General features: G+C 43.2%; 1 protein-coding gene and 1 non-coding gene across 21 annotated transcripts in view; both read left to right on the top strand.

Moving 5' to 3' along the window:
- Positions 1–27,537, top strand: part of GON4L (gon-4 like) — a 114,320-nt gene that overhangs the window by 54,572 nt on the left and 32,211 nt on the right. For all 20 annotated transcript variants that reach the window (XM_047423299.1, XM_006711394.5, XM_047423284.1 and 17 more), the window contains exons 12-15: positions 9,709–9,810; positions 19,486–19,526; positions 20,771–20,874; positions 27,040–27,238. In XM_047423299.1, the coding sequence (XP_047279255.1) occupies positions 9,709–9,810; positions 19,486–19,526; positions 20,771–20,874; positions 27,040–27,238 (446 nt within the window). The remainder of the gene's footprint in view (positions 1–9,708; positions 9,811–19,485; positions 19,527–20,770; positions 20,875–27,039; positions 27,239–27,537) is intronic.
- Positions 21,028–21,176, top strand: SCARNA26B (small Cajal body-specific RNA 26B). Its single transcript, NR_132767.1, has one exon.

The raw sequence follows: 27,537 nt of genomic DNA, 5'->3' as shown, positions 1-27,537 counted from the left end.
TGGGTTAATTGATTTAATTTGTATTTAACTGATAATTTATCTTAAATCAGTAGTTAATTTTTCTTTTTTTTTTTTTCCTGAGACAGGGTCTCACTCTGTCACCCAGGCTGAGTGCAGTGTTGCAGTCACGGTTCATTGCAGCCTTGACCTCCTGGGCTCAAGCAATCCTACCCCTTATCCCACTGAGTAGCTGGGACTACAGGCACATGCCACTGTGCCCGACTAATTTTTTATTTTTTGTAGAAACGAGATGTCACTATGTTGCCCAGGCTGTTCCCAAACTCCTGGCCTCAAACAATCCTCCTACCTTGGCCTCCTGAATGCTAGAATTATAGGCATGAGCCACCGTGCCTGGGCCAATTCTTAACATTTCTTTTTCTGGGTAAGGAATCTTTTGAATCCTAAGATTGTTGAATGCTAAGATTTGAATCCCTTGAAACATACATGCACATGTAGTTTTGTTGTTGTCTTTTGTTTTTGAGACACTGTCCCAAAACAGGGTGTTGCCCAGGGTGGATCACAGTGGGGTGATCATAGCTCACTGTAGCCTTAAACTCCTGGGCTCAAGAGATCGTCCTCAGGTCTCAGCCTCCCAAGTAGCTGAGATTATAGGCACGCACCACCTTGCCTGGCTAATTTTTTAAAAATTTCTGTAGAGAAATGTTGCTCAGGCTGGTCTTAAACTCCTGCCTCAAGTGATCCTCCCACCTTGGCCTCCCAGAGAGCTAGGATTACAGGCATGAGCCACTGTGCCTGGCCCACTCAAAATTTTATGTATGATTTCATTAGGGTTCAGTGATTTACCAAAAGAACACTGTGTTAGTTAAGGGTCTTCATGATGCAAGTGAAAGAATCCTAACTCTATCTTGCTGGGGTGAAATGAAACCAGACTTTGGGAAGTGTAGTAAATCAGCAGTGGAACTGAGGCACTGTTAGGATCCCCCTTTCCTCTCTATTTTACTTCCTTTTGTCACTCAGCTCCATTCTCACATTTATTTTTCTACAAGGTTAGAGCTCTGTTCATAAACACTCCGTGATTACTTTTTGCTTTGTCTACACTTCAGGACTCTCCCCTGCAAGCTCCAGTTATAAAATCCAGGGGAACAAGTCAGATCGACTTGGTTTGATCTCATGCCCAGTCTCTTGGTACTACATGGGATTGATAGGGAGACTGTTCAGCATGGAGTCTGGTGATTGATAGCACCTCATAGAACAGTGTGGTTGAAGTATGTGGTGACCCTAAAGAAGTAATGGTATTATCAGAAATGGGGAAGAAATATTGATCAGATAAAAGTTTGGATGGAAACAGACTAAGTAGGCTGGGCGTGGTGGCTCACACCTATTATCCCAGCTCTTTGGGAGGCCGAGGCGGGCGGATCACAAGGTCAAGAGATTGAGACCATCCTGGCCAACAGGGTGAAACCCTGTCTCTACTAAAAATAAAAAAATTTGCTGGGCGTGGTGGTGCACGCCTGTAGTCCCAGCTACTCAGGAGGCTGAGGCAGGAGAATCACTTGAACCTGGCAGGCGAAGGTTGTAGCGAGCCGAGATTGCGCCACTGCGCTCCAGCCTGGCAACAGAGCGAGACTCCATCTCAAAAAAAAAAAAAAAAGAAAAAGAAATAGACTGAGTAAATGGCTGGGTAGGTAATGCTAGGAGTAAGTCAGGATAAGTGAATGAAAGAAAATAACAGGTCCTTGAATGTACCTTATGATACTATTAATAGTTATATAGTATATCATTTGGCAAATGTTTGAGTACTTTCTTTATACAAGGCATTGTGCTAGAATCTGTGAGGGATAAAGGAGCATAATCATTTGGTCATGGAATAAAAGCTTTATGAATGACAGGGTGCCTGGCCCATTGTTAGGTTCACAATACATTGTACTTTTTTGTGTGTGTGTGAGACAGGGTCTCACTCTGTCACCCAGGCTGGAGTGCAGTGGTGAGATCTTAGCTCACTGCAGCCTTGACCTCCTTGGCGCAAGCAATTCTCCCACCTCAGCCTTCTAAATAGCTGGGAATACAGGTTTGTGCCATCATGCCCGGCCAATTTTTGTATTTTTTGTAGAGTTGGGGTTTTGCCATGTTGCCCAGGCTGGTCTCGAACTCCTGCGCTCAAGCGATCCTCCTGCCTCTGCTTTCCAAAGTGCTGAGATTACAGGAGTGAGCCATCGCGCTCAGCCAGTATATTGTAAATGAATGAAGTTGTTGAATAAACTCAGATATGCCATCAAAGTGGCATAAATGCTGTTGTAAGATTTTAGAAGAGGACAGGGTAACTTTTGTTTAGGATGATCAGAGACAGCTACATGAAAGAGCTGGTAATTGAAATGGACCTTGGAAAGATTTTTGAAAACAGTGACAGGGAAGAGAGAAGGCATCTGAGTAGAAGTGACATGATATACTCTATATGCTGGATTCTGTAGGATATATTCTTTCCAGAGTTTTCTCTTTTTTCACTGTAAAACTGTAAGAGTAATATATGCTTGGTATAAAGAAATCAAATATTACAGAAATAAAACAATTAAAGCCTTCCCCCCCCCCAAGGAAAATGTACATATCTACATACATGAAATTTTTCATATGATTTTTTTGGGGTTTATGTATCTCTTAGAGTTTATTTATTGGCACTTCATTTTCCTACCAGTCATTTCCAAAGCCTTTGACACCAAGGTTCAAGTTTGGTTCCCCAGAGGGACTACTGATAATACTTTGGTATGCATCTGTGAGAGTTTTCAATGTGTAGTTACTTTTTAGTTTTCCACATTAATGTGGGGATAAAAATAATTAAATTTTAGTCCTAAATTTAAATTTAAGACTTTTCTCAAACATTTAGAAAAGATAGTCCAGGCGTGGTGGCTCATGCCTGTAATCCCAGTACTATGGGAAGCCAAGGCATGAGGATTGCTTGAGGCCAGGAAGTCAAGACCAGCCTGGGAAACACAGTGAGACCTCATTTCTATTTTTTTTTTCTTCGACAGAGTCTCGCTCTGTCGCCCAGACTGGAGTGCAGTGGTGTGATCTCGGCTCACTGCAACCTCTGCCTACTGGGTTCAAGCGATTCTCCTGTCTCAGCCTCCCCAGTAGTTGGGATTACATGCGCCTGCCACCTTGCCTGGCTAATCTTTGTATTTTTAGTAGAGACAGGGTTTCACCATATTGGTCAGACTGGTCTCAAACTCCTGACCTCAGGTGATCCACCCTCCTTGGCCTCCCAAAATGCTGGGATTACAGGCATGAGCCACCGCACCTGGCATTTCTATTTTTAAAATAAAATAAAATTTTAAAAAAGAGAGAGAAAATAACAAGAAGCAAATTGTTTTAAATCTTATCATATTTCTTTTTTTTACCCACCCTCTGTAGTAGAGGGGCTAACAAGCCACAAAATGAAAAAAATTGTGTAAGGAGAAAAAGATGGAGTTTGAAGCTGAGTCATTAACATGCAAAGTATAGAATCAGTTCCTTCATAATTAGCAACTGATATATTATCCCATTAGTCATTCTGATAGGAGTCTAAGCTTCTGAGTTTTCCATTACTCACCCCTTTGACAATCTGATGAAAACTATGCAGCCTTCCCCCAGAAAAAAATGTACATATCCAAATACATGAAATTTTTATATGATTTTTGGGAGATACATATCTTTTAAAGTTTATTGACACTTCCTGTTTCTACCAGGTTCAGAAATCTCCACAAAAAGGAATAGACAGGACAGAGAGTTCTTTTTTTTTTTTTTTTTTTTTTTGAGCAGCAGCAAGATTTATTGTGAAGAGTTAAAGAACAAAGTTTCCACAACGTGGTAGGGGACCCGAGTGGGTTGCCCAAGGACAGATAGTTCTAACCACTTTGTAGGCAGTGAAATCTCAGAGAAATTCATTGTCTTGCTCAAAGTTACAGAATCAATTTGTTATACTCCTAGGAGTAGAACCCAGTTTAATATTCTAGGAACATGTCTCAATCAGACAGGTTTCACGGTAAGTTAAACCTTTTTTTTTTTTTTTTTTTTTCTGAGACAGAGTCTGGCTCTGTTGCCCAAGCTAGAGTGCAGTGGCACAATCCCTGCTCACTGCAACCTCCACCCGGGTTCAAGCGACTCTTCTGCCTCAGCCTCCAGAGTAGCTGGGACTACAGGTACGCGCTACCATGCCCAGCTAATTTTTGTGTTTTTAGTAGAGATGGGGTTTCACCATATTGGCCAGGCTTGTCTCGAACTCCTGACCTTCTGTTCCACTCGCCTCAGCCTCCCAAAGTGCTGGGATTACAGGCTTGAGCCACCGCACCTGGCCTAAACCATTTTTTTTTGAGAGAGTTTCACTCTTGTCCCCCAGGCTGGAGTGCAGTGGCGCGATCTCGGCTCACCGCAACCTCCGCCTCTCAGGTTCAAGCGATTCTCCTGTCTCAGCCTCCCAAGTAGCTGGGTTTACAGGCATGTGCCACCATGCCTGGCTAATTTTGTATTTTTAGTAGAGTCAGGGTTTCACCATGTTGGTCAGGCTGTTCTTAAACTCCTGATCTCAAGTGGTCCACCCACCTTGGCCTCCCAAAGTGCTGGGATTACAGGTGTGAGCCACCACGCCCGGCCTAAACCATTTTTTAAAAGTATATGACTTTTCATAATGAGCTGTGTTTTTTGTTTTGTTTTGTTTTGTTTTGTTTTTGAGATGGAGTTTTGCTCTTGTTGCCCAGGCTGGAGTGCAATGGCACGATCTCAGCTCACCGCAACCTCTGCCTCCCAGGTTCAAGCGATTTTCCTGCCTCAGCCTCCCAAGTAACTGGATTACAGGCATGTGCCACCACGCCTGGCTAATTTTGTATTTTTAGTAGAGATGGGGTTTCTCCATGTTGGTCACGCTGGTCTCGAACTTCCAACCTCAGGTGATCCGCCCTCCTCGGCCTCCCAAAGTTCTGGGACTACAGGCATGAGCCACTGCTCCTAGCCTTCATAATAAGCTGTGCTTTTTATCTTTGGCACAGGCTAATACAAAATAATTACAGTAAGAAAGTCAGGTTCTCCTAGCGTTATTGGTAGCAGCAGCTTTGGTGCTCATTTTCATCACTTTGGTTCAAAGGCCTAAGATGGTAGCTATTGGGAAGGAAAGGCCAGGCAGAACTGACTTTCAGGATTTTGTTTCTCATAATTTGGTTCCGAGAACTTGAATCAGAATTGAAGAGTGTATGGATATGTAGGGTGATGTTTATTAAAGATACAGATTTCAGGGCTTCACCCCTTACCTACTGAATCAGAATCTAATGAGTATGGTCTAGGGATCTAATTCTGATATATCTAAAGGATTGGAAACTACTGGTCTGGGAAAGGTAAGAGTGCATGATAAAGGTTGATTGGGGAATTGGACTAATGGTTAGGGGGAGGGTGAAAATCCTCTTTTCTTAAAATAAAACTTCAGTTTGTTTTGTTTTGTTTTGAGACAGGGTCTCACTCTTGTCACCCAGGCTGGAGTACAATGGTGTGATCTTGGCTCACTGCCACCTCCACCTCTCAGGTTCAAGCACTTCTTCTGCCTCCACCTCCCTAGTAGCTAGGATTACAGGCACATGCCACCATACCCAGCTAATTTTGTATTTTTAGTAGAGACGGGGTTTCACCATATTGGTCAGGCTGGTCTTGAACTCCTAACCTCAGGTGATCCGCCCGCCTTGGCCTCCTAAAGTGCTGGGATTACAGGCGTGAGCCACCACGCCCAGCAACTTCAGTATTTTTGTATGTGCCTATTCGGACAGATTTTTAAAAGAGCACACAAAGCCAATGATTAGGATGGGTGTGGCCTCCAGATCTACCAGTTGAGTTAAAAGACAATACAGGAGGGGTATATCAGCTGGGTAAATACTGACATTGTTAATAAGTCAAAAAAGTGATTAAGCTCAGAGGACATATTCCACAATCAGGGTACTAAAAGCTAAGCAGAACTCAGAAGAATCCCCCTAAATGATTTTTCAGCATCTTTGTTAAATGAGTGCTCTGAGAATAATATTCGCTGACCCATTTGTGTGGTGTGGGCAGAACTATCTATTGCAGTTCTTGCATCCAAACAGATGGAGTCCAAACCTGTGCACACTACTCATTATTATGGGCTCTTCCAGAACTTTCGTTATTCAGCAATGTTTGTTAAGAACTTTTTGATCAGGCGCAGTGTCTCTCACACTTCTAATCCCTGCGCTTTGGGAGGCTGAGGCAGGCAGATCATGAGGTCGGGAGATCGAGACCATCCTGGCTAACACAGTGAAACCCCGTCTCTACTAAAAAAAAAAAAAAAAAAAAAAAATTAGCCTGACGTGGTGGCGGGTGCCTGTAGTCCCAGCTACTTGGGAGGCTGAGGCAGGAGAATGGCGTGAACCCGGGAGGCAGAGCTTGCAGCGAGCCGAGATCGCCCCTCTGTGCTCCAGCCTGGGCGACAGAGTGAGACTCCATCTCAAAAAAAAAAAAAAAAAAAGAACTTGCTGTGAAGAGACTTATATAGAAAGTACTATAGAGATTATGAATTATGAAGACAGTATTCTATTCCTAAAGAAATAAAGAATCTGTACTGATAAGTTAAACCCACAAATAGATGAAAAAGATTTGATAATTAGTTATGTGTAAAGAATGCAAATTAATATATTATAAGCTGAGTATAAATGTTGAGTAAAGAATTATCAAGTTAGATTAGGGTTTAATCAGCACAGATTTTTCAGTGATTGTGAATTTTAAATGTGTGTCTGTATAAGTATATATATATTTATATATATTTATATTTATATAAAAAATATATATTTGTTTTTGAGACAGGGTCTCACTCTGTCACCCTCGCTGGAGTGCAGTGGCGTGATCATGACTCACTGCAGCCTCAAACTCCTGGGCTCAAGCAGTCCTTCCAGCTCAGCCTTCTGAGTAGCTGGGACTATAGGCACACACCACGACACTTGGCTAATTTTTAAAAAGTCATTTGTAGAGATTGGTTCCCACTGTGTTGCCCAGGATATATATATGTGTTTTTTTTTTTTTTTCTTGTTAGATGGAGTCTCACTCTCGCCCAGGCTGGAGTGCAGTGGCATGATCCCAGCTCACTGCAACCTCTGTCTCCTGGGTTCAAGTGATTCTCCTGCCTCAGCCTCCCAAGTAGCTGGAATTACAGGCACGCACCATTACTCTTGGCTAATTTTTGTATTTTTGGTAGAGACGGGAGGGGGGGGGTCTCACCATGTTGGCCAGGCTGGTCTCGAACCCCTGACCTCAAGTGATCTTCCCACCTCGGCCTCCCAAAGTTCTGGGATTACAGGCGTGAGCCACCATGCTTGGCCCCAGGCTGTATATGTCTGTTTATAACAAAAGATGTTTATTTATGGCCAGGCACGGTATCCAGTCTGGGCAACAAGAGCGAAACTCCCTCTCGAAAAAAAAAAAAGATGCTCATTTATTATGAAAAGTTAAAACATTATGGAAGAGGCGCCAGACTCTGTGGCTCACGCCTGTAATCCCAGCACTTTTTAGGGGCCGAGGCAGGTGGATCACCTGAGGTCAGGAGTTTGAGACCAGCCTGACCAACATGGTGAAACGCCGTCTCTACTAAAAATATAAAAATTAGCTGGGCATGGTGGTGCACATCTGTAGTCCCAGCTACTCGGGATGCTGAGGCAGGAGAATCGCTTGAACCCAGCAGGTGGAGGTTGCAGTGAGCTGAGATCGAGCCACTGCACTCCAGCCTGGGCGACAGAGCGAGACTCCACCTTAAAAAAAGAAAGAAAAAAAAAATATTGTGGGAGGGTACACAGAGAAATCTTTGTTAATAGTTTTATGTGTTTCTTTCTAGATACTCTGTGGGTGTTCAGTCAAGCATGTATTTATCTCAAACAAGAATTTTTTTCCACAAAAAGAATCATACTATACATATTGGTCTTCATCTGCAACTTGCTTCTTTCACTTAGCAGTATAACATATATTTTTCCATTATAATACATAGAGATCACCTCTTCTATTTAATGGATACATGATAGTAAGAAATTTAGGTATTCTCTTTTTGGTCTTTTTTTTTTTAAATCAGTTCCTCAGTCACACTAGCTGCATTTCTCAAGTCACATGTGGCTAATGGCTACTGTATGATACAATACAATACATGTATAGATCATTTCCATCATCACAGAAAGTTCTGTTAGACAACACTGATCTAAAATTATCTGGAGAAAAATATTACCTTAATATATAATAATTCCATAATTTAATGACTCCTTCATAATTTTTACTTAGTAATTGAAAAGACAGTTTAGCATTAACATTAAAGAAAATTAGGCTGGGCCCTGTGGTTCACTCCTGTAATCCTAGCACTTTCGGAGGCCAATGCAGGCGGATCACCTGAGGTCAGGAGTTCGAGACCAGCTTGGCCAACATGGTGAAACCTTGTCTCTACTAAAAATAGAAAAATTAGCCGGGCGTGGTGGTGGGCATCTGTAATCTCAGTTACTTGGTAGGCTGAGGCAGGAGAATTGCTTGAAGCTGGGAGGCAGAGTTTGCAGTGAGCCAAGATCATGCCACTGCACTCCAACCTGGGTGACAAAGTGAGACTCCATGTCAAAAAAAAAAAAGAAAAAAGAAAATTAAAAGGGAGAAGAACATCCATATTTCTATTATTCTAACCTAACAAATGTTTATTATTTTTGTATATTTTTAGTTATTTATGATTCTTATTGTAAGGATATAATTTTTCATGCTTATGATTATTATGTATATATTGTACTTTTGTCATACATGTATTGAACTTTTATAGAATGGTTACATATTCACATTTTATATGTGTACGTGTTGAGTATCCCCTTCATCCAAAATGCTCAGGACCGGAAGTATTTTGGATTTCAGATTTTTTCAGATATTAGAATATATGTATTATTATACTTAACAGATAAGCATACTAAATTTGAAAATTTGAAATCTGGGCAGGGTGCAATGGCTCACACTGTAATCTCAGCACTTTGGGAGGCCGAGGCATTCAGATCGCTTGAGCCCAGGAGTTCAAGACCAGTCTGGGCAACATACCAAAACCCTGTCTCTACTAAAAATACAAAAATTAGTTGGGCATGGTGGCATGTGCCTAATCCCAGCTACTTGGGAGGCTGAGGTGTGACAATCGCCTGATCCTGGGCAGTCAAGGCTGCAGTGAGCCATGATCGTGCCACTGCACTTCAGCCTGGGTGACAGAGTGAGACCCTGTCTCAAAAAAAAGGAAAAAGAAAATTTGAAATCTGAAATGCTCCAATGGCTATTCCCTTTGAGAGTCATGTTTGCACTCACAGAGTTTCAGATTTTGGAGTTTTGGATTTGGAATGCTCAACCTGTACTATTTTATACTAAGAAATTATAATTATATAGTCATTCTCTAATTGTTGGGAATTTGGGCCACTCCTTTTTTCACTGTCAGCTTCACTGTACAAGTAGCTTTTACAGAAAGTATTATTTTCATGGAATATACTACACAAAATTAGCTGGGTGTGGTGGCGTATGCCTGTGGTCCCAGCTACTCAGGAGGCTAAGGTGGGAGGATCACTTGAGCCCGGGAGGTGGAGGTTGCAGTGAGCTGAGGCTGTACCACTGCACTCCAGCCTGGGCGACAGAGTGAGACCCTGTCTCAAAAAAATAAAGAATAAATGTGCTTTATTGGAACAGATTCTTAGAAGTTTGAGAACAGAGTTAATGAGCATCTGAAACACTTTTTTTTCCTAGATGAAGCAGATGATGATGATGATCCAGAATATAATTTCCTGGAAGACCTCGATGAACCAGACACAGAGGATTTCCGGACTGACCGGGCAGTGAGAATCACCAGTGAGTCTGTGTTTATTCTAAGTCCTGCTCTTGACTGCTTTGCAGCTGTCTTTGTTTACTTTGTAGATTTTTAGGGGTGAAGTTTGCAGCTCATCCATGTTAAGACATTTAGGTTTCCTTTACCCATTTATTGATCTGATTCTTTAAATTTAGGTACATATTCAGAAAGCCCATCAGTTATTCATTTGTATATCCCACAGTCGTGTATTCAGTCCTTACTGTTTGGCAGGGATTGTGCAAGATGAATAAGACATGGCATCTGTGCTGTAGGAGTTCAGCCTAGTAGGGTGATAGAAACAGAAAAAGTTACAATACAAAGTGATAAATGCTGTAACAGGTTTTACATAAGGTATAATAATGACCTAAAAGAGAGTGTCATCTCCTAGTGTATGATATGGACTAGGATAGGAGAACTTAGGAAAGAATTTGCAGAATGAAATGGCTTTTTATCTTAGTTTTGAAGGAGGAATAAGAAATTTGGTGAATAGGGACAGAGAGGAATATTGCAAATAGAAGAGCATCTGCAAACCACAGAATTGTAAAACATCAAAAAAGTATGTTTGGAAAATACTAAGTACTTTGGTGGTGGTGTATGAGTGAAAAGACAGAGAAGTGGTAGATAAGATTAGGTAGTGTTTACATCATGGAGGATTTTTAAGCTCTCAAAATGAGGTTTAAGGGCGGGCATGGTGGCTCACGCCTGTAATCCCAGCACTTTGGGAGGTGGAGGCAGGCAGATCACCTGAGGTTAGGAGTTCAAGACCAGCCTGGCCAACATGGCGAAACCCTGTCTCTACTAAAAATACAAAAATTAGCCAGGCGTGGTAGTAGGCACCTGTAATCCCAGCTACTCCGGAGGCTGAGGCAGAAAAATTGCTTGAACTCAGGCGGGAGAGGTTGCAGTGAGCCGAGATCACGCCAATGCACTCCAGCCTGGGCGACAGAGCAAGGCTCCGCCTGAAAAAAAAAAGAGGTTTAAGCAGTAAATCAGTAGGAACTGATTTGGATTTTAGAAAGATCACTTTGATTTAATACCAGTTTAATGTATTAATTTGTTAGGTAAAGTGAACAAGACTGGAGGTATGGAAAACAATTATGATAACTTAGCTTGAGTTATTTCTATAAAAAATTATATCATTGAGCTAGGAGTGGTGGCTTACACCTGTAATCCCAGCACTTTGGGAGGCTGGGGCAGGAAGATTGCTTGAGCTTAGGAGTTCGAGACCGGCATAGGCAACATAGAGAAACTTTGTCTGTACTAAAAATTTAAGAAATTAGCCTAATGTATTGGCACGTACCTGTAGTCCTAGCTACTCAGGAGGCTGAGGCAGGAGGATTGCTTCAGCCCAGGAGGTCAAGGATTCAGCAAACTATGATAGTGCCACTGCACTCCAGCCTTGGTGGCAGAGGGAGATCCTGACTCAAAAAAAAATTATATCATTGGCTAGTGTGTCAAGCATAGAAAACATACATTTCATCCTGAAGAAATTCTACCTATGGGGAGAAAGAAAAATAAAAAATATATTTCATAAGCCATTGATTTTTATTGCATGTATGCATGACCCTGTACTGGAATAATATACACGACATGGAGAAGGTAAGATGCTGGCTCTTGACCAGGTTATGCAGAGAGCTTTATAAACATCCAAGATATACCTAATTAATGCAGTTCTTTGTGTAAAGAGAATTATGTAAATACAATCCTTTAGAACTTACATTTTATTTTATTGCTTTATTGTGCCTTTCACCTTGCTTTTAAGATTAGAATACCATTTCCTTTGTGAAGATCTTTCATTTATTTTGATATACTATGACAGGGATAGTGGAAGCATTGAAAGGAAAGCACCAGGAATTAGAGAAAATGTAGAATGAAAAGGTTTGAGGATTTAGGCTTTGAGAAAACTGAAAGGAGAATCTAGGAAGGTACAAGAAAAACCTAGAAAATCTAGTGTCGTAGAAACCAAAGGAAGAGTCTTTTGGCTGGGGCACAGTGGCTCATGGCTATAATCCCGGCACTTGGGAGGCTGAGGCAGAGGCAGAAGGATCGCATGAGCCCAGGAGTTCAAGACCAGCCTGGGCAAGATAGTGAGACATTGTCTCTACAAAAACATTTTAAAAATAAAATGAAAATTAGTTGTCGTGGTGCATGCCCGTAGTCCCAGCTACTTGGGAAGCTGAGGTGGGAGGATCACTTGAGCCCAGGAGGTGGAGGCTGTAGCGAGCAGAGATCCCAACACTGTACTCCAGCCTGGGTCAGAGCAAGACCCTGTTTCAAAAAAAGAGTCTTTCAAGAAGGACAGAATGGTCAACAGTAAAGAAACAAGTAAAGAAACATCTGCTTAAAGCACAAAAGCAGATCTTAAGTTCAGCTATCATCCTGGAATATATTTGCCTTCCCTTTTTGATTGTTACTTTCTTCAGTTTACGTATAATTTCTCAGGGAGATCCTCCTTCGTTAGGATTGATCTTCTTGCTTTGCATTCCCGTACCACTCTTTTTGTCCTTTTATATACTGATCACCTCATAATTGCTTATTTAATATCTGTCTTCTCCCCTAGACTGTGAACTTCTCAAGAGCTTTGTTTTGTTTATTGCTGTAAAGCTGGTGGCAATATTTGCCAGTCGAATAGAGATGGGTAAATGAAGGGCAGTCTTTCTAGTCATACAGTTCTGTAATGATAGTGAAAGCTGGAGTAGAATTTTTAATTTTTTTTTCTGCCTCTTGTCCTCTTGTGTCTCATTGTCATATTTGATTATAATCTCTTTAAAAGGACTTATCCTTATATGGATAACTAAAATAAAAAAATTAAAAAGCATAGAATCACAGAGTTTGAAAAGCTCCATGTGGTCACATGTTTTTTGCCCGCTTGAGAATTTGTTTACACCTCCTCTGAGGTGGCCTTTTTAGTCCTGTTTGTATACCTTCAGTGACAGGGAGCTCAACAATTCTGCAGATAGTGTATTGTAAACTTGAACACCTCCTCAATTAATACTTTCCTTATTGAACCCAAATCTGAATGCAAATTCAGATACTTTCCTTATTGAACCCAAATTTGAATGCAAAGCAGGAAGATCAATCCTTTTATATTCCTCCTATTTGTCTTTATGTTATGTTATGTTATGTGATGTTATGTTATGTTATGTTATGTTATGTTATGTTATGTTATGTTATGTTATTTTTGAGATGGAGTTTCGCTGTTGTCGCCCAGGCTGGAGTGCAATGGTGCAATCTCAGCTCACTGCAAACTCTGCCTCCTGGGTTCAAGCGATTCTCCTGCCTCAGCCTCCAGAATAGCTGGGATTACAGGTGCCCGCCACCACGCCCAGCTAATTTTTGTATTTTTAGTAGAGACGGGGTTTCACCAGGTTGGCCAGGCTGGTCTTGAACTCTTGACCTCAGGTGATCCACCTGCCTCGGCTTCCCAAAGTGTTGGGATTACAGTCATGAGCCGCACTGTGCCCGGCCTCCTATTTGTCTTTTGTTGTTAAGAAAAAAAAAAGCAATTTATTCCCAAGTGTACATATTAAAAGATGTTTCTTAAGTTTTTTTTTTTTTTTCCCTATGCAAAACATAGGAAAGTTTCAAGTTTCTTCTGCCAGGTTTCTTCTTCTCCAAAGCCTTGGTGTCCAGACCTCTCACCATGCACATTACTCTTCTCTGGATTCTAGCATTTATTTTCTTTAAACTTTTCCCCTGTTACATCTTATTATGAAATTTAAAAATATATATAGAAAAATTGAAAAATTATACAGCTAACATTCATATACTCACCACCTACTTTTTTTTGAGACGAAGTCTCACTCTTGTTCCCCAGGCTAGAGTGCAATGGTGTGATCTCGGCTCACTGCAGCCTCCGCCTCCCAGGTTCAAGCGGTTCTCCTGCCTCAGCCTCCTGAGTAGCTGGGATTACAGGCGCCTGCCACCATGCCCGGCTACTTTTTGTATTTTTAGTAGAGAAGAGGTTTCACCATGTTGGCCAGGCTCATCTCGAACTCCTGACCTCAGGTGATCTGCCCGCCTCAGCCTCCCAAAGTGCTGGGATTACAAGCGCGAGCCACTGCGCCCAGCCTCACCACCTACTTTCTATAGTTTGTTGGTTTTTTTTTGAGAAGGAGTCTCGCTCTGTCTCCAGGCTGGAGTGCCGTGGCGCCATCTCAGCTCACTGCAACCTCCGACTCCCTGGTTCAAGTGAATCTCCTGCCTCAGCCTCCCGAGTAGCTGGGATTATAGTCACGCGCCACCATGCCCAGCTAATTTTTGTATTTTTAGTAGAGACAGGGTTTCACCATGTTGGCCAGGATGGTCTCGATCTCCTGACCTTGTGATCCGCCCACCTCGGCCTCCCAAAGTGCTGGGATTACAGGCGTGAGCCACTGTGCCCGGCCAAACTTTCAGTAGTGTTAATATAAACTGTGCGCCTTTCATATGTGCGGGTTTCACAGCTGCAGATTCAACCAACCTTGAAAATATTCTGAGAAAAAAAAATGCAACAGCAAAAAATAATACTAACTGGGCGTAGTGGCTAACATCTGTAATCCCAGCACTTTGGGAGGCTGAGGCAGGAGGATCGCTTGAGCACAGGAGTTTGAGATCGGCTGGGCGACATACTGAGATTCCATCTCTACAAAAAACTTTAAAATTATCTGGGTGCAGCCGGGCATGGTGGCTCACGCCTGTAATCCCAGCACTTTGGGAGGCCAGGGTGGGCAGATCACGAGGTCAGGAGTTCGAGACCAGCCTGGCCAATATGGTGAAACCCCATCTCTACTATAAATACAAAAATTAGCCGGGTGTGGTGGCTCACGCCTGTAGTCCCAGCTACTAAGGAGGCTGAGGCAGGAGAATCGCTTGAACCTGGGAGGCGGAGGCTGCAGTGAGCCGAGATCGCGCCACTGCACTCTAGCCAGGGCAACAGAGTGAGACGCTGTCTCAAAAAAAAAAAATTATCTGGGTGCATTGGTGTGTGCTTGTAGTCCCAGCTACTCTGGAGACAGAGTCAGGAGGATCCCTTGAGCCCAGAAGTTCAAGGTTGCAGTGAGCTGTGATCATACCACTACCACTGCACTCCAGCCTGGGTGACAGAGTGAGAGCTTGTCTCAAATAAATAAATAAAAAATAATAAGGTATAACAAGCATTTACATTGTATTAGGTGATAAGTAATCTAGAGATAAGGTATACAGGAGGATGTGTGTAGATTATATGCAAATACTACATCATTTTTATATAAGGGACTTGAGCATCCTCAGATTTTGGTATCCATGGATACGAAATGGTTCCAGGAGATTGGCTCCTGGAACCAACCTCCACAGATACTGAGGGATGACTTTATTTGCCTTATCATGCAGCTGTCCATCTCCCTGTCCGTCTGTGGATGCATCTTAGTTTTCAAATGCATTTCAGAGTAAATTATACTTCACTTTTTTTTCTTTTTTTTTTTAAATTCAGACAAGGTCTATGTTGCATGGGTTGGTCTTGAACTCTTGCGGTCAAGCGATCTTCCCACCTCAGCCTCCTGACCAGCTGAGATTACAAGTGTGCACAATGGCACCTGGCTATATGTCACTTTTTTTTTGTATTTTTAGTAGAGACGGGGTTTCACCATCTTGGCCAGGCTGGTCTCGAATTCCTGACCTCGTGATCCTCCCACCTCTGCCTCCCAAAGTGGTGGGTTTACAGGCATGAGCCTATACTTCACTTTTAACCACTTCAGCACGCATATAATGAACTAGAGCTCCATATTTGTTTATGATTTCTTTTTATAGGTAATTTTACACACAGTGTATCACACACATCTCAAGTGTACCATTTAATGAATTTTGACATGTGTGTACCTATGTGACACAAATCCCTGTCAGGATATAGAATCCTCACCCCAGGAAGTTTCCTCATGCCCCTTCCAAGTCAATCCCCACACCATCCCTTCAGAGGCAACCACTGTTCTGATTTTTTTTTTTTTTTTTTTCCGAGACGGAGTCTCGCTCTGTCACCCAGGCTGGAGTGCAGTGGTGCGGCTCACTGCAAGCTCCGCCTACCAGGTTCACGCCATTCTCCTGCCTCAGACTCCCGAGTAGCTGGGACTACAGGTGCCTGCTACCATGCCCGGCTAATTTTTTGTATTTTTAGTAGAGACGGGGTTTCACCGTGTTAGCCAGGGCGATCTCGATCTCCTGACCTTGTGATCCACCTGCCCTGGACTCCCAAAGTGCTGGGATTACAGGCGTGAGCCACTGCGCCCGGCTTTTTTTTTCTTAATCACAGGTTATGTTTGCCAGTTTTAGAACCTCACATAAATGGAATCATATAGGATGTGCTTTGTGTGTAAGGCTTCTTTCACTCAGCATAATATTTTTGAGATTCATTTGTGTTGCATGGGTCGTTAGTTTGTTCCCTTATATTGTTGAGTAGAATTTCGTTGTGTATATATACTACAGATTATCTATTTTTGTGTTGATCACCTGGGCTATTTTTAATTTTGGGTAACGAATAAAGCTGCGCTGAACTTTTTTGTGCAAGTCTTTGTGGAAATGCTTCATTTCTCTCTCTCTTTCATTTGTTCCCACCTATGAGTTAGAAAAGCCGTATTTCATTTATCTTGGGTCAGCTGTATAGGAGACAAATCACTGGGTCACAGGGTATGTTTAGTTTTATAAGAAATTGCCAGACCATTTTCCAAAGTGGCTTTCCATTTTACATTCTTATCAGAGTTCTGGTTGCTCTACATCCTCAGTAACATTTGGATTTTAATTTTTTTTGTTGGCTGGGCATGGTGGCGCACACCTGTAATCCCAGCACTTTGGGATACTGAGGCAGGCAGATCACTTGAGGTCAGGAGTTCAAGACCAGCCTGGGCAACATGGTGAAACACCGTCGCTACTAAAACTACAAAAAATTAGCCAGGCGTGGTGGCGCATGCCTGTAGTCCCAGCTACTTATGAGGCTGAGGCATGAGAATTGCTTGAAGCCGGAAGGTGGAGGTTGCAGTGAGCTGAGACCGCGCCACCGCGCTCCAGCCTGGGCAACAGAGTGAGACTCAGTCTCAAAAAAATAAAATAAAAAATAATTAAATTACTTAAATGATTTTGTTTTTGTTTTTGTTTTGTGTTTGAGACAGAGTCTCACTCTGTCTCTCAGGCTGGAGTGCAGTGGTACTATCTCTGGTCAGCGTAGCCTCTGCCTCCCGGGTTTAAGAGATTCTTGTGCCTCAGCCTCCCAAGTAGCTGGGATTACAGGCATGTGCTACCATGACTGGCTAATTTATTTATTTATTTATTTTTGAGATGGAGTCCTCGCCCTGTTGCCCAGGCTGGAGTGCATTGGTGCTGTATTGGCTCAGTGCAACCTCCACCTCCTGGGTTCAAGTGATTCTCCTGCTTCAGCCTCCCGAGTAGCTGGGATTCCAGGTGCATGCCACCATGCCTGGCTAATTTTTGTATTTTTAGTAGAGACGGGGTTTCACCATGTTGGTCAGACTGGTCTCGAACTCCTGACCGCAGATGATCTGCCTGCCTCGGCCTCCTAAAGTGCTGGAATTACAGGCGTAAGCCACTGCCCGTGGCCTGGATCTTAATTTTTTTAATGTCCTCTTAAGAAGGGCCTTTATAGAATTGTTCACAGTCCTCCAGACATAGTGTTAGACTCTGCTCTAGTTCAGTGATATGTTTGCCTTGTTGGTTATGAGCCCCGTTTTGGAGCAACTGTGTCTTATTGAACTTGATATCAACCAAAACTTTTTTTTTTCCTCAGATTCTTGTAACAACCAAAACTTTCAGGTCTTGTTCACATTATTTTTAAGCCACGTCACCTTTTCATGCAGTTAATAAACTGATCTTTAAAACTCTTGCTGGGCGCGGTAGCTCACGCCTGTAATCCCAGCATTTTGGGAGGCTGAGGCGGGTGGATCACGAGGTCAGGAGATCGAGACCATGGTGAAACCCCGTCTCTACTAAAAAATACAAAAAATTAGCCAGGCACGGTGGCAGGCGCCTGTAGTCCCAGCTACTCAGGAGGCTGAGGCAGGAGAATGGCGTGAACCTGGGAGATGGAGCTTGCAGTGAGCTGAGATCGCGCCACTGCACTCCAGCCTGGGCGACAGAGCAAGACTCCGTCTCAAAAAAAAAAACGAAAAAACTCTTAACTGTAGGACTGGGCACCGTGGCTCACACCTGTAATCCCAACACTTAGGGAGGCCAAGGTGGGAGGATCGCTGGAGCCCAGGAGTTTGAGACCAGCCTGGGCAACATAGCAACATGCTGCCTCTATTAAAAAAAAAAATTCTTAAACATAGAACTTTAAATTTATCCGTATATGTTGCATCCAGTTGATTTGAGAAAATATAATTTTGAATTTTCCGTCTGTTGGATTGGCAGTCCCTTTCAGCTTTACATCATCTACAGATGTGTTAGGTATGTTCTCTGGGTCTTCTAAGTCACCGATGGAGTTCTTGAATAGTTCAGATCCAAAGACAGCGTCCTGTGAAACCCTGCTGGAAACTTGTCTTTCTCTCTCTCTTTTTTTTTTAAGACAATATCTTGCTCTGTCGCCCAGGCTGGAATGCAGTGGCATGATCTTGGCACACTGCAGCCTCTGCCTCCTGGACTCAAGAGATTTCTCTCACCTCAGCCTCTTGAGTAGCTGGGACTGCAGGTGTGCGTCACCAAGCCCAGCTAAATTTTTTTGTAGAGATATGGTTTCAACATTTTGCCCAGGCTAGGAGACTCATCTCTTGATTCCATTCAGTACTGTGTGGATTTGGATAGGTCATCTAATTATAAAATCATCTAGCTCACATTTTCTCCTGTCTTCTTCCTTTTAGAATTTAAGCTTCATGAGAATAGAACTCTCTCTCTCTATCTCTCTTTCATTCTCTCATATATCCCAAGCATCTAAAACATGGATTGAAGCATAGTGCTCAATAAATGTGTTTTGTTGTTGTTGTTGTTGTTGTTGTTTTTTGAGACAGAGTCTCGCTCTGTTGCCCAGGCTGGAGTGCAGTGGCGCAGTCTTGGCTCACTGCAAGCCCTGCCTCCCGGGTTCACGCCATTCTCCTGCCTCAGCCTCCCGAGTAGCTGGGACTACAGGCGCCCACCACCACGGCTGGCTAATTTTTTATATTTTTAATAGAGACGGGGTTTCACCATGTTAGCTAGGATGGTCTCAATCTCCTGACTTTGTGATCCATCTGTCTTGGCCTCCCAAAGTGCTGAGATTACAGGCATGAGCCACCGCTCCCGGCCTCAATAAATGTTTTTGAATAAATGAATGAAGGATAGCCAGTCATGGTGGCTCACACCTGTAATCCCACCATTTTGGGAGGCCGAGTTGGGCTGATCACTTGAGCTCAGGAGTTCGAGACCAGCCTGGTGAACCCTCATCTCTACAAAATATACAAAAATTAGCCAGGCATGGTGGCATGCGTCTGTGGTCCCAGCTACTTGGGGAGCTGAGGTGGGAGGAGCGATTGGACCAGGGAGGGGATGCGGAGGTTGCAGTGAGCTGAGATCGTGCCACTGCGCTCCAGCCTGAGTGACATAGTGAGACCCATCTCAAAAAAAGAAGGATAGATATGAAGAATTTGTCATGCCTTGTTGAAAACATTATACATTGTCTTCATGGAATTCCTCCTTATTGTAAAATCTAATTTATACCAACAATATACTGTCTGGCTTTCTTGCAGAAAAGGAAGTAAATGAGCTGATGGAAGAGCTGTTTGAAACTGTGAGTAATGATCCTCGAGTGAGAACACGGGATTTTAAGTCAGTTCTCCAGCAAGATGTGTCATTTGGTCTCTGTGATGCTCCCTCTAGGAGAGGGGGTCTGACTGAACCAATTCTCCTTTTAGTCTACCTGGGAAAGAATATAATGACAAGGGAATTTTGCTAACTACTAGACTCTTGATTATATACATGTATGTTGTTCTTATTAACATTTTCCTTGAAACTTCTTTTTGTTTGAGGGGGTTCTTGCTCCATCACCCAAGCCAGAGTGCAGTGGTGAAATTACAGCTCACAGCAGCCTTGACCTTCTAGGCTCAAGCAGTCCTTCGTCTAAGCCTCCTGAGTAGCTGGGACATACCAACACACCCAGCTAATTATTTTATTTGTAGAGACAGGGTCTTACCACATTGCTCAGGTTGTTCTGGAACTTCTGGGCTCAAGCAATTTTCCTGCCTTGGGCCTCCCAGTGCTGGAATTATAGGTGTGAGCCAGCATGCCTGGCCCCTGGAAAACTTTTGATGACTTCCCCTACTGTCATTTGGTGTGTCCTTAAAGATTGTCAACTAGTTTTAAACTACTTTGTGTACAAATAATTACCTTTTTCATAAATTTGTTTCAAAAGATTTTTCATTTTAAGAGATTGATCATTTTGAGGCTGGGTGCAGTGGCTCACGCTTGTAATCCCAGCACTTTGGGAGGCCACGGCAGGTGGATCATCTGAGGTCAGGAGTTTGAGACCAGCCTGGCCAACATGATGAAACCCTGTCTCTATTAAAAATACAAAAATTAGGCATGGTGGCGGGCACCTGTAGTCACGGTTACTGCAGAGGCTGAGGCAGGAAAATTGCTTGAACCTGGGAGGCGGAGGTTGCAGTAAGCCCAGATTGTGCCACTGCACTCCAGCCTGGGCAATAGAGCAAGACTGCAAGACTCTGTCTCAAAAAAAAAAAAAAAAAAAAAAAAAAAAAAAAAAAAAGGAGAGAGAGATTGATAATTTTGAGTTATCCACGCTCTGTCCTTACTGTTACAAGTTGACTGGTTGAATGACTTCTTTCTTGGCATAATAGCCATCCCAAGTGTGGGTTTGTGGGAATCCTGAAGTGAGAAAGTTCTGACATTGGCTCTTTCTGGGTGCCAGCATTATTATAGTCTTGTAATCTATAGTTTTCACTCTTCCTTCCCAATACTGGAGCAACATTCAGAGGCCCATTCCCCAGGAAAACCCTCCCTTTCCTTTGCCCACAGTTCCAAGATGAGATGGGATTCTCCAACATGGAAGATGATGGCCCAGAAGAGGAGGAGTGTGTAGCTGAGCCTCGTCCTAACTTTAACACCCCTCAAGCTCTACGGTAGGCTAGTTGAAGACCTTGAGATTTGGAATAGAGGAAAAGTTTATTTCTGAAAAGGTTTTCAGAAGTTGCAATTGATAATTTTTCATCCCAAACCAGCTTCTGTTACTGATGTAAGGATGCAGAGCCCTGTCAGGAGTTAGGTGTCAAGTGAAGTCTCCTTGTTATGGGGCAGTGCAGCTGTAGGCCAAGCTATATCCGTTTGGGAAGGGAGAAAAAACAGTAGCTGGCATCCATATCCACTTCTCCGGGTGAGTGGTGCTGGAGAGGTATGTAGGACTCAATGTGGCCAGCCACACAAACTACCCCATATTGTAATATCCTGTCTGTCCCTTTTGTTCTTTTTATGTGCCATTAATATCTGCTAAATGTGACTGAAAATTTGTTAGTCACCTAGGCATTAGTGGAGCAAACCCTGAAGCACCTGCAGTAAGGAGTCTGAAACATACGTGCTGACCTTTTTGCCTAAAGTTGGCACTTGTGTTACAGCATCCAGAAAGTAGAGGCTTTAATTTTTTCCTCATTTTGTGGTGGATTTGCATCTGCACTTTATTGTATTGTTATCCATTGCGAGTAGCAGCATGTAGTCATTAGATGGATGGCTAGATGTCAGGATGCAGTTTGTGCCATAAGTGGAACAAAGCAAAGAGAATAGTCCCTGTAATTCGTCCTGGGTTTGAACCTAACAGCATTACTAAGCAGAGAGCTTGGGATCCATCTGAAAGCTAGACCTTTAGAGATTTTTCAATTTAGTGAAAAAAGATAAGATATGCCAACCAATGTCTAAAAACTAGAAATACCAGTAATTCTCCATTACAACAAATATCACAATACAACTACATCAAAAACCTCAAGATTGCTAAGTCAGTATTTGACCCATTATTTTAAGTTACAGCTCATACAACAAAATTCTGTTATAGCAGAATGGAACCATTCATCCTGGGAACATATAATGGGATTTGATCTATAAACGTGTTTTGGTTCTGCTGATTGACTCTTTGTAACTTCTTAAAATTTGGGAAGTGTAGGCTGGGCGCAGTGGCTCATGCCTGTAATCCCTGCACTTTGGGAGGCGGAGGCAGGGGGATCACCTCAGGTTAGGAGTCGAGACCAGCCTGGCCAACATGGTGAAACCCCATCTCTACTAAAAATACAAAAATTAGCCAGGCATGGTGGCGGGTGTGTGTAATCCCAGCTACTCAGGAGGCTGAGGCAGGATACTCACTTGAACCCGGAAAGCGGAGGTTGCAGTGAGCTGAGATGACAGCCTGCTTGACAGAGAGAGACTCTGTCTCAAAAAAATAAAATAAAATAAAATAAATAAAATTTGTAAAGTATAGAAATAATTTAAAACTCTTGTTAGAATTCAGTTACCTTCTGGTATTCAGTAGAATACAGTCATATATCATCTCATGGTGATACATTCTGTGAAATGTTATCATTAAACGATTTCATCATTGTGTAGAAAGCACTTGGATAAACCTAGATGGTTTAGCCTACTGCATACCTAGGCTATACGGTATAACATATTGCTCCCAGGCCACAAACCTGTATAGCATGTTATTCTGCTGAATATTGTAGGCAGTTGTAACACAATGGTAAGTACATATGTATGTAAACATAGAAAAGGTACAGTAATCTTATGGAGCCATCTCTGAATATGTGGTTCATTATTGACTGAAACATTATGTGGCACATGACTGTACTTGGGCAGCTGCTGCTTCTCTTTCAGTTGCAAATGCAAACCTGTTATAATCTTTGACTAAATAAAGCATCCTGGATTCTGTAAGTCCATAGATAGTAAAAACTTCTTAAAACACAATAAAGAAGAGAGAGGAAAAAAAAGAACAAAACAAAAACCCTGGGAAAGTGAGTTATCTGTGCTTCCCTTGTCAGTTATCCAAGTAATACTTATTAAAACTAGGTGCAAGGCCACGTGTGGTGACTCACACCTGTAATCTCAGCACTTTGGGAGGCTAAGGCAGGCAGATCACTTTAGGTCAGGAGTTCAGACCAGCCTGGTCAACATGGTGAAACCCCATCTCTACTAAAAATACAAAAATTAGCTGGGTGTGGTGGCACACGCCTGTAATCCCAGCTACTTGGGAGGCTGAGGCAGGAGAAACACTTGAACCCTGGAGGCGGAGGTTGCACTGAGCTGAGATTGTGCCACTGTACTCCAGCCTGGGCAACAGAGTGAAACTGTCTCTCAAAAAATAATAATAGGCCGGGTGCGGTGGCTCACGCCAGTAATCCCAGCATTTTGGGAGGCCAAGGCAGGCGGATCACAAGGTCAGGAGTTTGAGACCAGCCTGACCAACATGGTGAAACCCCGTCTCTACTAAAAATAAAAAAATTAGCCAGGCATGGTAGCACTCGCCTGTAATCCCAGCTACTCAGGAGGCTGAGGCAGGAGAATCGCTTGAACCCAGGACGCAGAAGTTGCAATGAGCCAAGATCATGCCACTGCACTCCATCCTGAGAGAGAGAAAAAGACTCCATCTCAAAAAATAATAATAATAATAATAATAATAATTATAGATCAGGCGTGGTGGCTGGCACCTGTAATCCCAGCACTTTGGGATGCCGAAGCAGGCATATCACCTGAGGTCAGGAGTTCGAGACCAGCTTGGCCAACATGGCGAAACCTTGTCTCTACTAAAAATGCAAAAAAAATTAGTCGGACGTGTTGGCAGGTGCCTGTAATCCCCGCTACTTGGGAGGCTGAGGAAGGAGAATTGCTTGAACCTGGGAGGCAGAGGTTGCAGTGAGCCGAGACCACTCCATTGCACTCCAGCCTGGGCAATAGGAACGAAACTCCATCTCAAAAAAAAATAATAGTAATAATAATAATAATAATAAAAAATACAACTACGTGCAGGCTATGTTTTCATTACCTACTTTTTTATGCTTCTGGTCTTCTGTTCCTTCAGTGGTAGTAGTGCAGGTGATCAGGTTTTCAGTTCTCAGAAGATTGCATAAGACAGTCCCACAGGCTTTAGGTTTTTACCCTGTGCTGCCCAAACCCACAGTAAATACTATAAAAGAAAGAATGATTTTTATCCCCAATAGATAAATGATAACTTTTAAAAATTAACTATTGAAAACACTTATTTATCTATTGCTGTAATATTGGAGATTACTTGAAATATGATAACCTGCTTGTTGTAACTACATCAGCAGGTCTTATCCTGATTGCATAGGGTATCAGCACGTGCTTAATCACTTAAGTATCTTTTTCTCCTTTTACTTCAGAACTGTCATGCTGGGTTTTTCAGTTTTTGCTTCAGCCCTGGAAACAGTCTCTCAGGAGGGTAGGGGTGGGAAGTTAGGGTTAGGAACCTTAGAAGAGGAATTTATTTTATTTATTTATTTATTTTATTTTATTTTTTTGAAATGGAGTCTTGCTCTATCGCCCAGGCTGGAGTGCAGTGGCGCGATCTCGGCTCACTGCAACCTCTGCCTCCCGGGTTCAAGTGATTCTCCTGCCTCAGCCTCCCAAGTAGCTGGGATTACAGGCACGCATCACCACGGCCAGCTAATTTTCGTATTTTTTCATAGAGACAGGGTTTCGCCATGTTAGCCAGGCTAGTCTCGAACCACTGACCTAAAGTGATCCACCTGCCTTGGCCTCCCAAATTGCTGGCATTACTGGCTTGAGCCACCACGCCCGACTGTTTCTTGACCTTTTAATAATTGTCATTCTGACTGGCAAGGCTTGCTTTCTTAACAAGTCAAAAATCTTCTAGCATGAAGCAGGAAAAGGATATACTAAAATAACTAAAGTAATGATAGTTTACCTGAACAGAACTGAGTGGTTGGTTCAAATATTACCCTACTGCTCTCCATGAAGGTATTTTATTTTAGCCCTTTAAATTCCTCTTCCTGGCTGGGTGCAGTGGCTCACGCCTGTAATCCCAGCAATTTGGGAGGCCAAGGCAGGTGGATCACTTTAGGTCAGTGGTTCGAGACTAGCCTGGCTAACGTGGCGAAACCCTGTCTCTACAAAAAAATACAAAAATTAGCTGGCCGTGGTGATGCGTGCCTGTAATACCAGCTACTCTGGAGGCTGAGGCAGGAGAATCACTTGAACCCAGGAGACAGAGGTTGCAGTGAGCCGAGATCATGCCACTGCAGTCCAGCCTGGGCGACAGAGCAAGACTCCATTTCAATAAATAAATAAATAAATAAATAAATTCCTCTTCTAAGGTTCCCAACCCTAACTTCCCACCCCTACCCTCCTGGGAGACTTTTTCCAGGGCTGAAGCAAAAATTCAAAAACCCAGCATGTCAGTTCTGAAGTAAAAGGAGAATAAGATAGCTAAGTGATTAAGCATGTGCTGATACCCTATGCAGTCAGGGTAAGATCTGTTGGCCAGGCCTGGTGGCTTACGCCTGATTCCAGCACTTTGGGAGGCCGAGGCAGGTGGATCATGAGGTCAAGAGATCGAGACCATCCTGGCCAACATGATGAAACCCCGTCTCTACTAAAAATACAAAAATTAGCTGGGTGTGATGGCGTGTGTCTGTAGTCCCAGCTACTCAGGAGGCTGAGGCAGGAGAATCACTTGAACCTGGGAGGCGGAGGTTGCAGTGAGCCGAGATCATGCCACTGCATTCCAGCTTGGCGTCAGAGCGAGACTCCGTCTCAAAAGAAAAAAAAATCTGTTTATGTAGCTACAACAAGCAGGTTATCTTTCTTTCTTTTTTCTTTTTTTTTTTTTTTTTTTTTGAGACAGAGTCTTGCTCTGTCGCCCAGGCTGGAGTGCAGTGGCGGGATCTCGGCTCACTGCAAGCTCCACCTTCTGGGTTCACGCCATTCTCCTGCCTCAGCCTCCTGAGTAGCTGGGACTACAGGCCCCCACGACTGCGCCCAGCTAATTTTTTGTATTTTCAGTAGAGACGGGGTTTCACCATGGTCTTGATCTCCTGACCTCGTGATCCGCCCACCTCTGCCTCCCAAAGTGCTGGGATTACAGGCGTGAGCCACCGCGTCCGGCCAACAAGCAGGTTATCATATTTCAAGGAATCCCCGATATTACAGCAGTAGATAAATAAGAAAATGTAGTATCCCACCAGGGAATACTATACAGCCATAAAAAGGTATGATATCATGTCCGTTTCAGGGACATGGATGGAGGTGAAGCCATCAGCAAGCTAACGTAAGAACAGAAAAACAACACTGCATGTTCTCACTTATAAGTAGGAGCTGAACAATGAGAACACATGGGCACAGGGTGGGGAACAACACACACTGGGGCCTGTTGGGGGAGCGGGGGAAGGGAGAGGATCAGGATAAACTGCTAATGCAGCTGCACTTAATACCAAGGTGATGGGTTGATAGGTGCAGCAAACCACCAAGGTGCACGTTTACCTGTGTAACAAACCTCCATGTCCTGCACATGTATTCTGAAACTTAAAATTAAAATTTTGAGGGCTAGGCATGGTGGCTTACGCCTGTAATCCCAGCACTTTGGGAAGCCGAGATGGGTGGATCATGAGGTCAGGAGATGGAGACCGTCCTGGCTAACACAGTGAAATCCCATCTCTACTAAAAATACAAAAAATTAGCTGGGCGTGGTGGCACGTGCCTATAGTCCCAGCTACTTGGGAGGGTGAGGCAGGAGAATTGCTTGAACCCTGGAGGCGGAGGTTGCAGTGAGCTGAGATCGTGCCACTGCACTCCAGCCTGGGCGACAGAGCGAGACTGTGTCTCAAAAAATATTTAAATTTTGAAAAAAAAATGCAAGGCAGTGCAGCCTGAGTGGATAGGGAAATGGGACAAGCTGAACCTGGGATGGGAGTAACAAGTAAATGAGAGAAGAAATGAGAATGATGAGTTCCCACCAGCTCCTTGGCTGCTTTCTTATCCAGATATTTCTCTGTTCCTAGCATTTTAATTTTTTCTTTATTTGTATATTATTTAGAAGAGGAATTTTAGAGGAATGGGATAGAGTGTAATATAGAATCATCATATTTGATGCATGCTAACTACTTTGGCAAAAGATTTGTAAAAGGCTGAGAGTTTGACTGTTGGCTAAAGTGAGATGGGGGATTAGTAGGGAATGAAAATTGTTCAGGCTCTTTGCTCATCATTGGAACGAATTGGATGTGTTGTGGACCTACGGAAACACTCAAATTCAGTCATCTCCCTGTTGGGAATAGGTTTGAGGAACCACTGGCCAACCTGTTAAATGAACAACATCGGACAGTGAAGGAGCTATTTGAACAGCTGAAGATGAAGAAATCTTCAGCCAAACAGCTGCAGGAAGTAGAGAAGGTTAAACCCCAGAGTGAGAAAGTTCATCAGACTCTGATTCTGGACCCAGCACAGAGGAAGAGACTCCAGCAGCAGATGCAGCAGGTAGGACTTTTCTTGGTCATGTTAACATTGGATTTTTTTTTTTGAGACAGAGTCTGGCTCTGTCTCCCAGCCTGGAGTGCAGTGGCCCGATATCGGCTCACTTCAACCTCTGCTTTCTGGGCTCAAGCATTTCTCCTGCCTCAGCCTCCCAAGTAGCTGGGATTACAGGCATCCACCACCACACCCAGCTAATTTTTGTATTTTTAGTAGAGACAGGGTTTCACCATATTGGCCAGGCTGGTCTCGAACTCCTGACCTTGTGATCCGCCCGCCTCGGCCTCCTAAAGTGCTGGGATTAC

Source organism: Homo sapiens, chromosome 1 (assembly GCF_000001405.40).
Source record: "Homo sapiens chromosome 1, GRCh38.p14 Primary Assembly".
NCBI classification, from domain to species: domain Eukaryota; kingdom Metazoa; phylum Chordata; class Mammalia; order Primates; family Hominidae; genus Homo; species Homo sapiens.
This window is presented reverse-complemented; position numbering and strand designations above follow the sequence as displayed.